Below are 12385 nucleotides of genomic sequence, written 5' to 3'. Positions count from 1 at the left end.
ACTACAGGCGTGAGCCACTGAGCCCAGTCTTAAAAAATTAAAAAAAAATTTTTTTTAATGAAAGAGGGGTTTATATGATAAGGATACACAGAATACTTAAGAAACCATGGGCAGGAATGCAGCTGGCCTGGGGAGGTGGTGCCTGGGTTTAGGCCTAGGAGGCATCAGAACCTTCTCTCCATTTGTGTCTCTCTCCCTCTCTCTCTCTTTTTTTGGGGGGACATGGTCTGGCGCTGTTCTCTGTTGCCTAGGCTGGAGTGCAGTGGTGCAATCATAGGTCACTACAGGCTTGACCTCCCAGGCTCAAGGGATCCTCCTGCCTCAGCCTCCTGAGTAGCTGGGACTACAGGTATACACCACTGCGCCCAGCAAATATTTTTTAATTTTTTGTCAAGATGGGGTCTCACTATGTTGCCCAGGCTGCTCTCAAACTCCTGGCCTCAAGCAATTCTCCTGCCTTGACCCCCTAAAACACTGGGATTACAGGTGTGAGCCACCATGCCCGGTCTCTATATCTTCTTAAATTGTCTGTCACCATTCAGAGCCTCCCACCCCGTTCTTATTTTCTAAATTAGCTTTTTTATTATGAAATATTTCTCATACAAAGAAAACTATAAACAATAATATAATGATCACCCATGTATCTTCTACTCAGCTTTGTTAAATCTTAGCATTTTGCTATCTTTGCTTCAGATATATATCTTTTTAAAGAAACAAAACATTATAAGTATGATGGAAACCCCCTGTATGTTTCCCCCAAGACTCATTCTCCTCCCTCCCTTCCCAGAGGTAATCACCCTCCTGAATTTAGGATTTATTCTTTTGATGCAAGTTTTAACTACAGATTATAAATACGTAAGCATTATATTGTATGAGTTTGCATACTTCTAAACTTTATATAAGTGGCATCCCATATATAAACTTCTGCACCTTGGGTGTTTTGTTCAGTATGTTTTTGGGTTTTATTCTTGTTCCTACAAGTAGCTCTGTGCCATATTTATTGAATGAAGAAATATGCCTCAATTTGTCCTTCATTTCTTGATAGGCTATAATAAGCATCCCTGTATATTTCTCTTTGTGCACACATACAAGGGTTTCTCTGGGGCATATAACTAGGAATGAAATTGCTGGGTGACAGGTCTATCAGTTATCTATTGCTGCATCATAGACCTCCCCCAAACTTAGTGGCTTAAAACAACATCCCTTCTATTTGCTCACAATTCTATGCATTAGAAATTCGGCAGGGCACAGTGAGAACAGCTTGTCTCTTTCCACAATGTCTGGGGTTGCATCCTGGGTGACTTAAACATCTGAAGCAGCTCAACGGGACCCTATGCGTGGGCCTGTGGTTCTAGCTGTCAGATGTGTTCCTCAGTTTTCTTTTCGATAGCCTCTCCATGCGGCTAGCTTGGGCTTTCTCACAACATGGTGGCCTCAGGATTCTAAGAAGTAGTGTCCCAGAGAACAAGCCACCCTGTGCAAAGTGCTTATTAAGCCTCTGCTTGCCTTACTCTTGCTAATAACCCATTGGTCAGAGCAAGTCAATGGCCATCCCTAGAGTTAATGTGTGAGGACGTGGATACTGGAAGGTGTGAGTCACTGGGAACTATCAATACAACAATACGTACAAACATTAACAGTTTCTGAGATATTGCCAAATGGCTCTCCAAAGAGGGTGTATCCATTTATAATTTCCCAACTCTTTTTTTTTGAGATGGAGTCTGACTCTGTTGCCCAGGCTGGAGTGCAATGGCACGATCATGGCTCACTGCAACCTCTGCCTCCCGGGTTCAAGCAATTCTCCTGCCACAGTCTTGTAATCCCAAGTAGTTGGGATTACAGGGGCACACCACCATAATAAAAATAAATTTTTATTTTTTTTTTTAGTAGAGATGGGGTTTCACCTTGTTGGCCAGGCTGGTCTCGAACTCCTGACCTCAGGTGATCCACCTGCCTCGGCCTCCCAAAGTGCTGGGATTACAGGCGTGAGCCATTTCACCCGGCCTAATCTCCCAACTCTTGAATAATCTCCTTCCAACAGTGTTAGGTTGTTCTACGTCCACACCAATACATGGGTATCGTCAGACTTTCAGTTTGCCAGTCTAATGGATCTGAAATGATGTCACACTGTTGTTTGTCGTTCTTGTGTTGCTGTCTGTTTCTTGGGGTTTTTGTTTTTTTTTTTTTTTTTTTGAGCCAGGATCTTACTCTGTCACCCAGGAAGGAGTACAGTGATGCCATCATGGCTCACTGCAGCCTCAACCTTCTGGGCTCGAGTGGTCCTCCTGCCTCAGCCTCCTGTATAGCTGGGAACACAAGTGCATGCCACCACGCCCAGCTAATTTTTTGAGTTTTTGTAGAGATGGAATCTCCCTTTGTTGCCCAGGCTGGTCTCAAACTCGGGTTCAAGTGATCCTCCTGCGTCAGCCTCCCAAAGTCCTCGGATTACAAGCATAAGCCACTGTGCCTGGCCTCACACTGCTGTTTTAATTGCACTGTCCTGAACTAATGGAGTGGATCATCTTTCTCTATTTGTTGATCATTTATTTGGGTTTCCTCTTTTTTGAATTGCCTGTTCCTATCTTTTCCCATATTGCAGTCACTATTTTTTCTTTCTTATATTAATTTATAGTTTGTGTTTTTTGGATCCTTAATTTATAAATGTTTAACCTGACCATGGAGGGGATATCTTCTCACTCCCAACCACCTGGAACAGGATACTGTTACTGAGGACCTTGGGGCACAGACTTAGGTGGGGAGTTTGGGGCTCTAAGGTCCTTTGGGTTCTGATTCTACCTGGCCTCAGCATCTGTCCCACCCTCTGGGTGTCTCTTCCAGAGTTAGAATGTGGATGGGGAGACCCAGAGCCCCTCCATCACCATGGCCCATTGACACTGGCTGCCTTCCTTTCTTGCCCCTTCCCTTCCCATGGCTTCAGATGGGTCTTCTCTTCCTCCAGCAGAGACGGCCACCATTGGTCCTCTGGGAAAACTGGACAATGATCTGAGCACAAGGTGAAAGAAAACTGGGAAATCTTTGCAGCTCAGAAAACTGGGAAATCTTCATGTCCTGCTGATCCTACATATATCCTGTGCACTAGACACTGACCCTGAGCATACTCTATCTTTCCTGCCTCTGTGCCTTTGCTTATGCTGTTTCCACTGCCTGGATGCCCCTACCTCTCACTAACCTCCCCTGCCCGGATCCTCCAAGGTCTACTTCACTGCCCTCTCCATGAAAGTCCCCCTTAGGTGGCCCTCCCATGCCCGCCACGATGTAATCTATCTCTCTTTTGACATCATCCCATAGGATTTTTCTTTGTATTTGTTCCTTTTTACAGACCCAAATATGGGTTCTAGAGAGGACATGTTTTCTCAATAGTTAAGACTTAGTGGTTTAGGGTCCCTCCCCCCTCCAAAAAAACAAAACCCAAACCAAAAAGTTCAGTTTTGATAAACTTAACCAGAATTTTGCAAGCAAAAAATCTAGAAAGAAGTGATGTCAACTTAGCATGATCACATATCATGCGGCTATATAAATGTCAATTAAAGTGAAATGAAATTAAGTTTATCTCCTGAGTCACACTGGGCACGATTCAAGTGCTTCATAGCCACATGTGGCTAGTTACTATCATATTGGACAGTACAAATACAGAATAGTTCCATCATTGCAGAGCGTTCTATTGGGCCACGAGCGGTGGCATTCATGCCTGTAGTCCCAGCTATTTGGGAGGCCAGGAGTTTGAGAACAGCCTGGGCAACATGGTTAAACCCTGTCTACACACACACACACACATGAAAAATTTAGAAAGTTCTATTGGACAGAGCTGATATTTATTAGCTCTGTTTCACAGCTTCATATTGTTTCTATTTTGAAACACCTATATCAGCGGGAGAAAACAAAATTTCTTCATTGTTTAGGCTTCCAAAGATCTAAATATTACCCTGGTCCCAGCTCAGCCACTAATTTGTTGTGTGGCCATAAGAAAGTCACTATCTCTCTGGGTCTCAGCTTGAGGGAGCTGATGTAGAAGGGTCCTTCTGCCTCTGCCACGCCTGTTCCGCCCGGGAGAATTGCTTATTTATGTCCTGGCAGGAAGAGCAGGGGAAGGGGTGGAGAGGGGAGAGAGGCGGAGGAGGAGAGGAGGAGATCATTAATGGCTCCCAGGTTCTTGCCTTTGATCAGGTTGTCTGGAGCGAGGTAAGCGGCCAGGAGATGGGGTGCTGAGAGGAAGCGGAGGGCCAGGTGAGGGTTCAGGTGACAGAGGCTTCAGCCTGCGCTGGAGTGGGGGAGGTCTTCCGCTCTGCCTCTCTCCACCTGGGAAGGAGCGCATGGGGGCTGGCCCCTACCACCCCTCCATTATTCTAAGGGGGAACTCAGTGTTGAGACAGGGGTATTCCTGTTCTGTGGGTTCTCCAGTCCTTGCTGCCAGAAATTCAAAGGCAAAGTGAGAGTTGATGTGCCTGGAGAAGAAGAAAACTGAGCTCCCTGGCAGACACCTGGCTGCCTGTCCATCCTACCTGTGAAGAGGAGGGGAGGAAGGAAATTAGCGCACGTTGAAATAAGAAAGGGGCGACGTTTTATGAGATGCTGGCTTTGCGGACTGAAGCATATCACTGGATTAGTGGCCAGGAATTGGGAATTGTCTTCTCTTTAGGGTGGTAGGACTCTCCAGTGGGGAGACAGCCCTGGATATGGGATCGGAAGGTTTCCAATCCTAACTACTGGGATAGGTTATTTAACTTCTCAAAGCCTCCGTGTCCTCATCTGTAAAAGGGGACCCAGGACACAATGATGACTGTGAGGAAGAATGAGGCCATCCCTATGTGTGAAGACATCTGGCAGATAATAGATGCCCGATGCATGTTTGGGAGTCCTCTGAAATCTGTGTTTGTGCTCTGGTCCTGACAGTTGTCCCCAACCCAGGGTCCTAGACTTCAGGTGAGGAGGGGGCCAGGACCCTTTGATCTCCCAACTGCAGCATCAATGGAGGGCTGAGTGGGCTGGGTGGGGTGGGGGTACTGGCGTCTGGGCCTGATTGGCACAGACCCAGGAGTCCAGATTTCAAAGGCAAGCTTCAAAGGCAGGGTTACGTGAATGTGGCTTCTTTTGTACCTGCTCAAGGAAGGAAAACAAACCAGTGCCCCCTCCTGCCCCAGGATGGCAGCTCAGATCCTGGGAGATACTCCCTACCCCACCTTCCTGCCCCAGGACGGTTAGTTTGATCTCTTCATCCATCCGCAGGGTTTTTGTCTCATCAAAGCAGTGATAAAGGAGCCAATTGTGGTGGGCCCTGCCCGGTCTCACCTGTGGCCCAGGGCACCCCACGGAGGGGAGCCAGCACCGGCACCGGAGGTTATGGTGACATGGGGTGGGGGGAGGAATGAGAGAAGGAAATCCAGGAGGTGCAGCTTTCATGGAAAGGGGAGCGGCAGCAGCGGTGAAGCAGAGCTAGCAGGGAGAAGTTTGAGGTTCAGGAAATTGACTGGGAATGTGGTATGGGCGGTGCCCATGGGTGCTGCTGGAGCCTGTAGGCAGGAGGGAGGCTGAGAGGGACTCCCCTCACCCTCTTCCTTCCTCCAGCTCTCAGAGTAGGCCAATTACCTGTCACCAGTCTGAGAGGGTCCCACCTCCCTCTGCTGGCTAGACTCACCCCTGCTGGCCCAGGATGGGGGGCGCTGCCAGTTCCTGCACCCCAGGGGTCAGCCGCGCCAGCATCTCTGTGATCTCAGCACAGCTCAACACTGCATCTAGGTGACCCCCCACCCCCGCGCTGTGCCTTGGCTGGGCCCCAGCAGGGGAGAGGGGTGAAGGGAAGGAGAGTAGTCCAGCCCCTCCCACAGTGGAGCTAAAGCTCTTCCAGTGGAACAGGCCGGGGCAGGAGGCCGCTGGAAGATGAAGGACACACTTATTCTTGTCAAGTTTCCCACGCCTTGGCCTGAAATCCTGGGGCCTCAACCATGTGGATAAACTCTGCCCCTTGAAGAAAAGCCTCCACCACCTCACCTGCCTCCACCCTTCCCAGAAGTTTCAAAAGCTCAGGAACCTTGGATGAGCAGGACTCTCTTGGGTTTGGTTTCCCGATCTTAGGTGTCAAAGTAGAGCACCAGGTGTAAATTCATTCACTCATTCATTCATTCACTCATTCACTCATTCATTCATTCACTCATTCACTCATTCATTCATTCATTCACTCATTCATTCATTCCTTCAGCAACATTTTACTGAGCACCTCCATGTGTTAGGCATCCTTACCGAAAGTCTGCAATTTAGGCTTTTTTTTTTTTAATTTTTGACTTTTTTTTTTAATGGGGTCTCACCTTGTTGGCTAGGCTGGTCTTGAACTCTTGAGGCTCAAGCAAACCATCTGCTTCAGCCTCCCAAAGTGATGGGATTACAAGCATGAGTCACCGTGCCCAGCCTAGGCATTCTTAAATACTTGAGCAAATGGAGAGTCTGTGAGGTTAAGCAACTTGGCTGAGGTCACACAGCAGCTGAGGGGCAGAGCTCTTTGCACCAGTTTTTGCCCCTGCCCCACCAACTCCCAGCTGGAGGCTGAGGGAGGAGGGCTCTCCCAGCCCGGCTGGGAAGGGGCCTTTGTACTCCCTCTGCACCTGCGCCTGAGCTTGGTAGACCTGTCAGTGCCTGGTGTCTGTTGCGCTGCCTGGGCAGGTTGTAGTCTGGGCTGTGCTGTGAGACACTGAGTAAGCCCTTCCTATGGGGTGCAGCTGTATTGTTGTTACCTGGGCCACACTTCCTCATCGGCAGTGAGGTGGGTAGACTGGCTAGGTGGCTGCACTTGAGTATTTAAAGAAGACAAATGCCTCTTCCCCTACCACTCCCACCTATCCCAAGAAATTCTGATTCTATTGGTCTGGGCTGGGCCGCATGCCTCTGTACTTTCGAAAGTTCTCTAAATGAGTTAGGTGTGCAGCCAGGACTGAGAACCTCTCGAACTAGATGATGACTACTTCTGTGAGCTAAAAGTGGCAGCCCAGCCCCTTCCCCAGGCTTGAGACCATGGGCACAACTCTTCGCCATCACAGCCACTCATGGCCTCTGAGTCTCTGTTCTCAGGGTCTCTTTAAGGAGTTGTGTGCTGGGAGCCAGCCGAAGGCCACACCTGCTAGGTTCTGATGGTCAGAGGGACTGGCCCTGTGAGCCAGGTGTCCTGGAGGAGGCTGTGGGGAGCAGGTGCTTTAGTAGGAGTCGGCGGAGGAAGGAGGAAGGGAAACTCTCAGGCCTGGGGCAGGGAGCAGAGGGACTGAGGTCCTCCTTATTCTGGAGAGAAGCAGCTCCTCGGTCTGACCCTTTGGGGCCAGCAGGGGCAGGGACGGGCATCAAGACCATGGTGCCTCTGGGGAAGGTGAACCTGGTGCCCTTGGCCACCTGCCCTCCATCCCTGCACACAGCGTTCTCACACTCACGTGGGAGGGGAGGGAACTAGGGGCACCTTGACTCTCCTACCAGAAAGATCTGCTGACAAAGACAAACCCCCACCCCCACCCTCTCTGGCTGAGGCTGGCAGGCGCCTCAAGCAGTTCAGGTGGGGGAAGGCCCCTCCCTCCCACCTTCCCCTGTACCCACAGCCACAACCTCTCAGGCCTCAGCTCTCCCAGAGTCTGTGTGCGCCGCTCAGATTTGGGGGCCCCAGGCAGCGGGAGGAAGGCCTTTGAGACCTGGGCCTGTCCTTCCTCTTTTCAGATTTCAGCTGGAGCAGGGTTTCTCAAACTGTGATGGATAGACACGTCACTCCCAGCTCCTGTTCAAGCAAATTCTGATTCAGAAGGCAGGGCCTGACACTCTGCATCCCTAGCAGGCTCCCCTGGGGTGCTGTACTGCTGGTCTGTGGACCACACTTTGGGCAGCAAGGAGTTAGAACACCCACACAGGTGTTCTCTGAGCCCAACCCTCTCATGGGCCTGGCAAGCAGCTGGCACCCACCAGGGTAGGGCCAGGCTGGGCCAGGCTGGGCGGACAGCCACCATCCCCTGGTACCCCTAACGAACAAGTGGTCCTCACTAGCCTGGCACGTGGCACCATTGACGGCTCAGTGCCCAGAATAGGGAAAACATAAAATCTCATTTCAAGCCCCAGTGATGGTTTGGTTCAGCTTTCCTACCTTTTTAGGAACTTAATTCCATGCGTTTTTCTTAAATGCAAGGCTGCAAGGCACCTGCTTAAAATGATATTTTCCCCTCTGCATTTGAGTAGAGACAGGCAGAGGGAGGGAAATGCTTTTTTTCCCTTTTTCAGGCTGTGTGTCACTCTGTCTCTGCTGTGTCTGTTTTGATGTCTGTCCATGTTGGCTTCTCTTATCTCTGTTTCTATTTTTCTCTGAAATAGTGCAGGGTTTTGCATCTGTACAGACCTGAGTTGGAGTCCTTCTTTTGCAACAGTTGATTAGCTCTGTGACTTTGGGCAAGTCTCCTAACTTCTTTGAGTGTCAGTTTCTTAATCTCTAAAATGGGCTCATTATTAGATGCTTGTTGGAGTGGCTGTGAATATTTTTATTTGAAATCATAAACACGAATATCCTTTGTAAGGTGAAAAGGATTGGCCAAGGATACAGGATCATTATAAGGCAATGATTAAGAGCACATGTGAATCGTGACTTTACCAGGTATTAGCTGTGTTGGGTGAGTGACCTAAATGCTCTCAGCCTCAGTTTCCCCATTTATAAAAAGAGGATAATTATGCTATCACCCCACAGGATTACGAACAGGGGTACACAAGATTACCTGTGGCTACTGCTCAGCACAGGGCCTCACGCGCACACACACACACACACACACACACACACACACACAGACTCCAAGTTGGGCTCATACTGCTTTTCCCCTTTAACACTATATCATGGACATGTGCCTATGTTTTTATGTATTGTTGATGCATATATCCTATAAGATGAATGGATGAAAATTAGTGGACTGCATGCTTCATTGTTGGTCATTATGGTTGTTGGGCTGAGAATCTGGAGTAAACATTTACAAAAAGAAAGAGGGCCTTATAACCATTTCCTTTCCCTTCTTTTTGGCCAAACAGGTAAAAGGCCACCTCCCTGGCCCACAAGCCCCTCACCCAAGGCTTTGGCCAGTTGGCCTCTTCACTCAGTACATCCTGCTAGTTAGGAGCACAGAATCCTTTTCCTTCAAGGGGTTCCTCTGTTAACCCCTGGTGCTGCAGCGCTGGCATTGGATGTTACAATTTGCCCATTGCTGTCAGAACTGGACAAGTGACCCAACAGGAATTCTTGGGATACTGAGGCAGATATGCTAGCAAGGAGGCCTTCTTGACATTGAGAAAAAAAGCGCAGGTAAGGGTGAGTGACTGGGGTGCCCCAGGGCTGCTGGCAAGCCCTCACTTCTGTTTCTGCTGGAGAAGGGCTGCCCAAAGGTGGAGGAGGTCTTTGGGGCATTAGGGTGAGCCCCAGCTGAGCAAGGAAAGCAGGTTCCCTTTCCACTCTTCCTCTCAGGAAGTCCCACCACTTACTAGGTTGGAGGAGACCTTAACTCATCTATCCCTCCGTTTTCTTATCTGCTTTAGGAGCATAAAAGAGCATCTATTTCATCGGGCAGTTGGGAGAATTTCATGAATCCACATCTTAAAACAGCACGTTCTGGCTGGGCACGGTAGCTCACGCCTATAATCCCAGCACTTTGGGAGGCCGAGGCGGTGGGCCACTTTAGGTCAGGAGTTCGAGATCAGCCTGGTCAACACGGTGAAACCCCAACTCTACCAAAAATACAAAAATTATCTGGGTAGGGTGGTGCATGCCTGTAATCCCAGCTACTGGCTGAGGCAGGAGAATCGCTTGAACCCGGGAGGTAGAGTTTACAGTGAGCCAAGATCCTCCCATTGCACTCCAGCCTGGGCAACAAGAGCAAAACTTCATCTTAAAAAACAAACAGACAAATAAACAACAGCACATGTCCTTCAGTGAAGGTTCAAATAATACAATATTAGAAAGTTTCGTGGTTCCCAGTCTCAGTCTATCTGTGTCCTCTCTTTGCCCCTTCAGCCTTCCCAGCATCTCATGGTCACCCACACCCCTAACAGCCTTCCCCTCCAGGAAATGTAACCTCTCCAGGGAAGCTTCCTGAGCAGCAGGGCTTACTCTGGAATTATGTAAAGAGTCGCCACAAACCTACAAAGTGCCACCCCACCCCTGCTGAAGCAATGTGTCCAGAGGCCACAGGGACACAGGGTGGGTGACGGAAAGAAATATGTCATTGTGGGCAGAGTCCCAGAAATTGGAGGTTCCCCAGCTTCAAGAATACAACCTTTGTTGTCGGGGGTGTTGTTTCATGAAGGGCCATATGAAGCAGCCTTCTACATCCCTAAAAGACCCAACGAGAGTCGGTGGATTAAATTAAAGCAGCAGAGATTTGAGTGAGATACAGGGAAGGCTCTCTTGATAGCCAGGGATAACACCCAGGAGAGGCTAGGGGAAGATGGCTGTGTTGCCCTGTCCCAGGAAGGGAGCCTGGAGAGGATTAGGTCTCAGAGCTGGTGTGGGTGCTCAAGAAACGCTGGTCAAATGAAGAAACTGGTGCAGGAGGGTGTGTGATCTCGTCTCTCCTGGTCTAGAACTCAATAATTTAATTTTGATGTGATTCCTAAATTTCCTTTAAGCTTAAAGAAAAAATAATCCATATGAGCTTGAAGGTGGCATTCAGCAAAGGGCTTCACTGACAGGGGCCCCCACCTGCACCCTCCAAGCTTCCCGAAGGCACGTTTGGCTAAGAGACAAAGTTCGAGGTGGGAAACCCGGCTGTCGATAGAGTCACTCTCTGCAATCAGGCAGAATTAATTGTATGAACACCATTGATCAAACCACTTAATACTTACAGGGGCTGAGAAAGAGCTGAAATGTAATTTCATTACCAACCTGCTCACCCCTAATCAAATTCCTAATAACTCTCTAATTTTTCCTTTAGATAAGGGCTGATAGGTGGAAATGGGGGTGGGGCGGGGGATAGACATGGAAACTTATTTTCTCTTCTTTGCTAGACTCTGTCTAGATAGATCCAAGTTAAATGCCTACTTCCAGAGCACCTTGTCGAAAGTCGCTGTAAGGGTTGTGGCCAACTTTGCGATTTATGCCTGGGATGGGGTGTGGGTGGGGGGCAGGGTGGAGGATGGGTGCAGATACCCTGAACTGCGAGTGAAGTTCACAAAAAACAGTTCTTTTTTCTTTCTCTCTTTTTTGAGATGGGGTCTCAGTCAGTCATTCAGGCTGGAGTGCAATGGTGTGATCTTAGCTCACTGCAACCTCCACCTCCCAGGCTCAAGTGATCCTCCCACTTCAGCCTCCTGGGTAGCTGGGAACACAGGCATGCGCCACCAAGCCCGGCTGCTTTTTTTTGTATTTCTGTTAGAGATGGGGTTTCACCATGCTACCCTGGCTGGTCTTGAACTCCTGAGCTCAAGCGATCCACCCACCTGAGCCTAACAAAACTCAATTCTGATTTGACTTAGGGTGATTATTCAGTGACTCAAGATCAGCAGATACATTTTTAGGCAGAAAACAAAACACATATAGGCTCCCTTGGCCCACAGCAAGGGGTGGAGGTGGGCAGTGCAAGCAGAAGTAGTCACAGGTTCAAAAATATCCAAGGATAGTAATTCCAGGAGAATGATTGCAAGGTAGGAGACTTGGTTCAAGTCCTGAGTGGGCTGGCGAAAGCTCCGTTGCAGGGCCTGCACACGCACACACAGACACATGTGCACACTACACAGACACGTATCACATGCCCACACACATGTACACAGGTGAATGTCATGCTTGCTGTTTTGTCCTGTGTCCATAGGGTGTTTGAAATGTAGCAGACCCTCAACTGATATTTGGAAAATATGCTCAGAGCACATAGGCATACATACACATGACCTGCACACATACAGGTATGTATACACATGCGTGCACACGTGGTCTCTCACTCTTTGCTCTCTGGGAGGGCAGGGAACCTGGCAGTTTTATTTGCCTCTGGCACACAGTGGGCACTTGGAGGCATCTGTGCAAAGAAGAGCTGGAAGCAACAGTCCTGGGGCAAAGCTGCCTCCTCCGCTGCCATAGTTGGATCATCCCTTAATTTAAAGCTCTGGTCAAGATTCTCGTCTCCTCGGAGGCCCTGCCTGCTCTGTGGCATTCTCCAGGACCATCCACACACTTGAATGATACCTGTTCACACTGGTGCTGTGGGCGTCTTTAGTGTGTACCTCCGTCATCAGACTCCTGTCTTCCCAGACCACCTCCCGTCCCTCGCTCTATGTCAGGAATTTCTTTAGAGGAGGGACCCTCTTCGCTATCAAAGTGGGAGCCCCTGGATGGCCCTCCCATCCCCTATCAGACCAGAAGTCACCCTATTTGAGAGTTCCAAAGGCC

The 12385-nt window shown here is 49.2% G+C and overlaps 2 annotated features.

Annotated features, from left to right (window-relative positions):
* Positions 3774 to 4274: an enhancer, noted in NCBI's record as "H3K4me1 hESC enhancer chr17:35184457-35184957 (GRCh37/hg19 assembly coordinates)". NCBI's record gives its function as "activates a minimal SCP1, AML or CMV promoter by ChIP-STARR-seq in naive H9 embryonic stem cells {active_cell/tissue: H9 hESC(naive)}" and the evidence as "EXISTENCE:reporter gene assay evidence [ECO:0000049][PMID:30033119]".
* Positions 4275 to 4775: an enhancer, noted in NCBI's record as "H3K4me1 hESC enhancer chr17:35183956-35184456 (GRCh37/hg19 assembly coordinates)". NCBI's record gives its function as "activates a minimal SCP1, AML or CMV promoter by ChIP-STARR-seq in naive H9 embryonic stem cells {active_cell/tissue: H9 hESC(naive)}" and the evidence as "EXISTENCE:reporter gene assay evidence [ECO:0000049][PMID:30033119]".

The sequence above is a fragment of the Homo sapiens genome, chromosome 17, assembly GCF_000001405.40.
Source record: "Homo sapiens chromosome 17, GRCh38.p14 Primary Assembly".
In the NCBI taxonomy this organism is placed as follows: Eukaryota; Metazoa; Chordata; class Mammalia; order Primates; family Hominidae; genus Homo; species Homo sapiens.
This window is presented reverse-complemented; position numbering and strand designations above follow the sequence as displayed.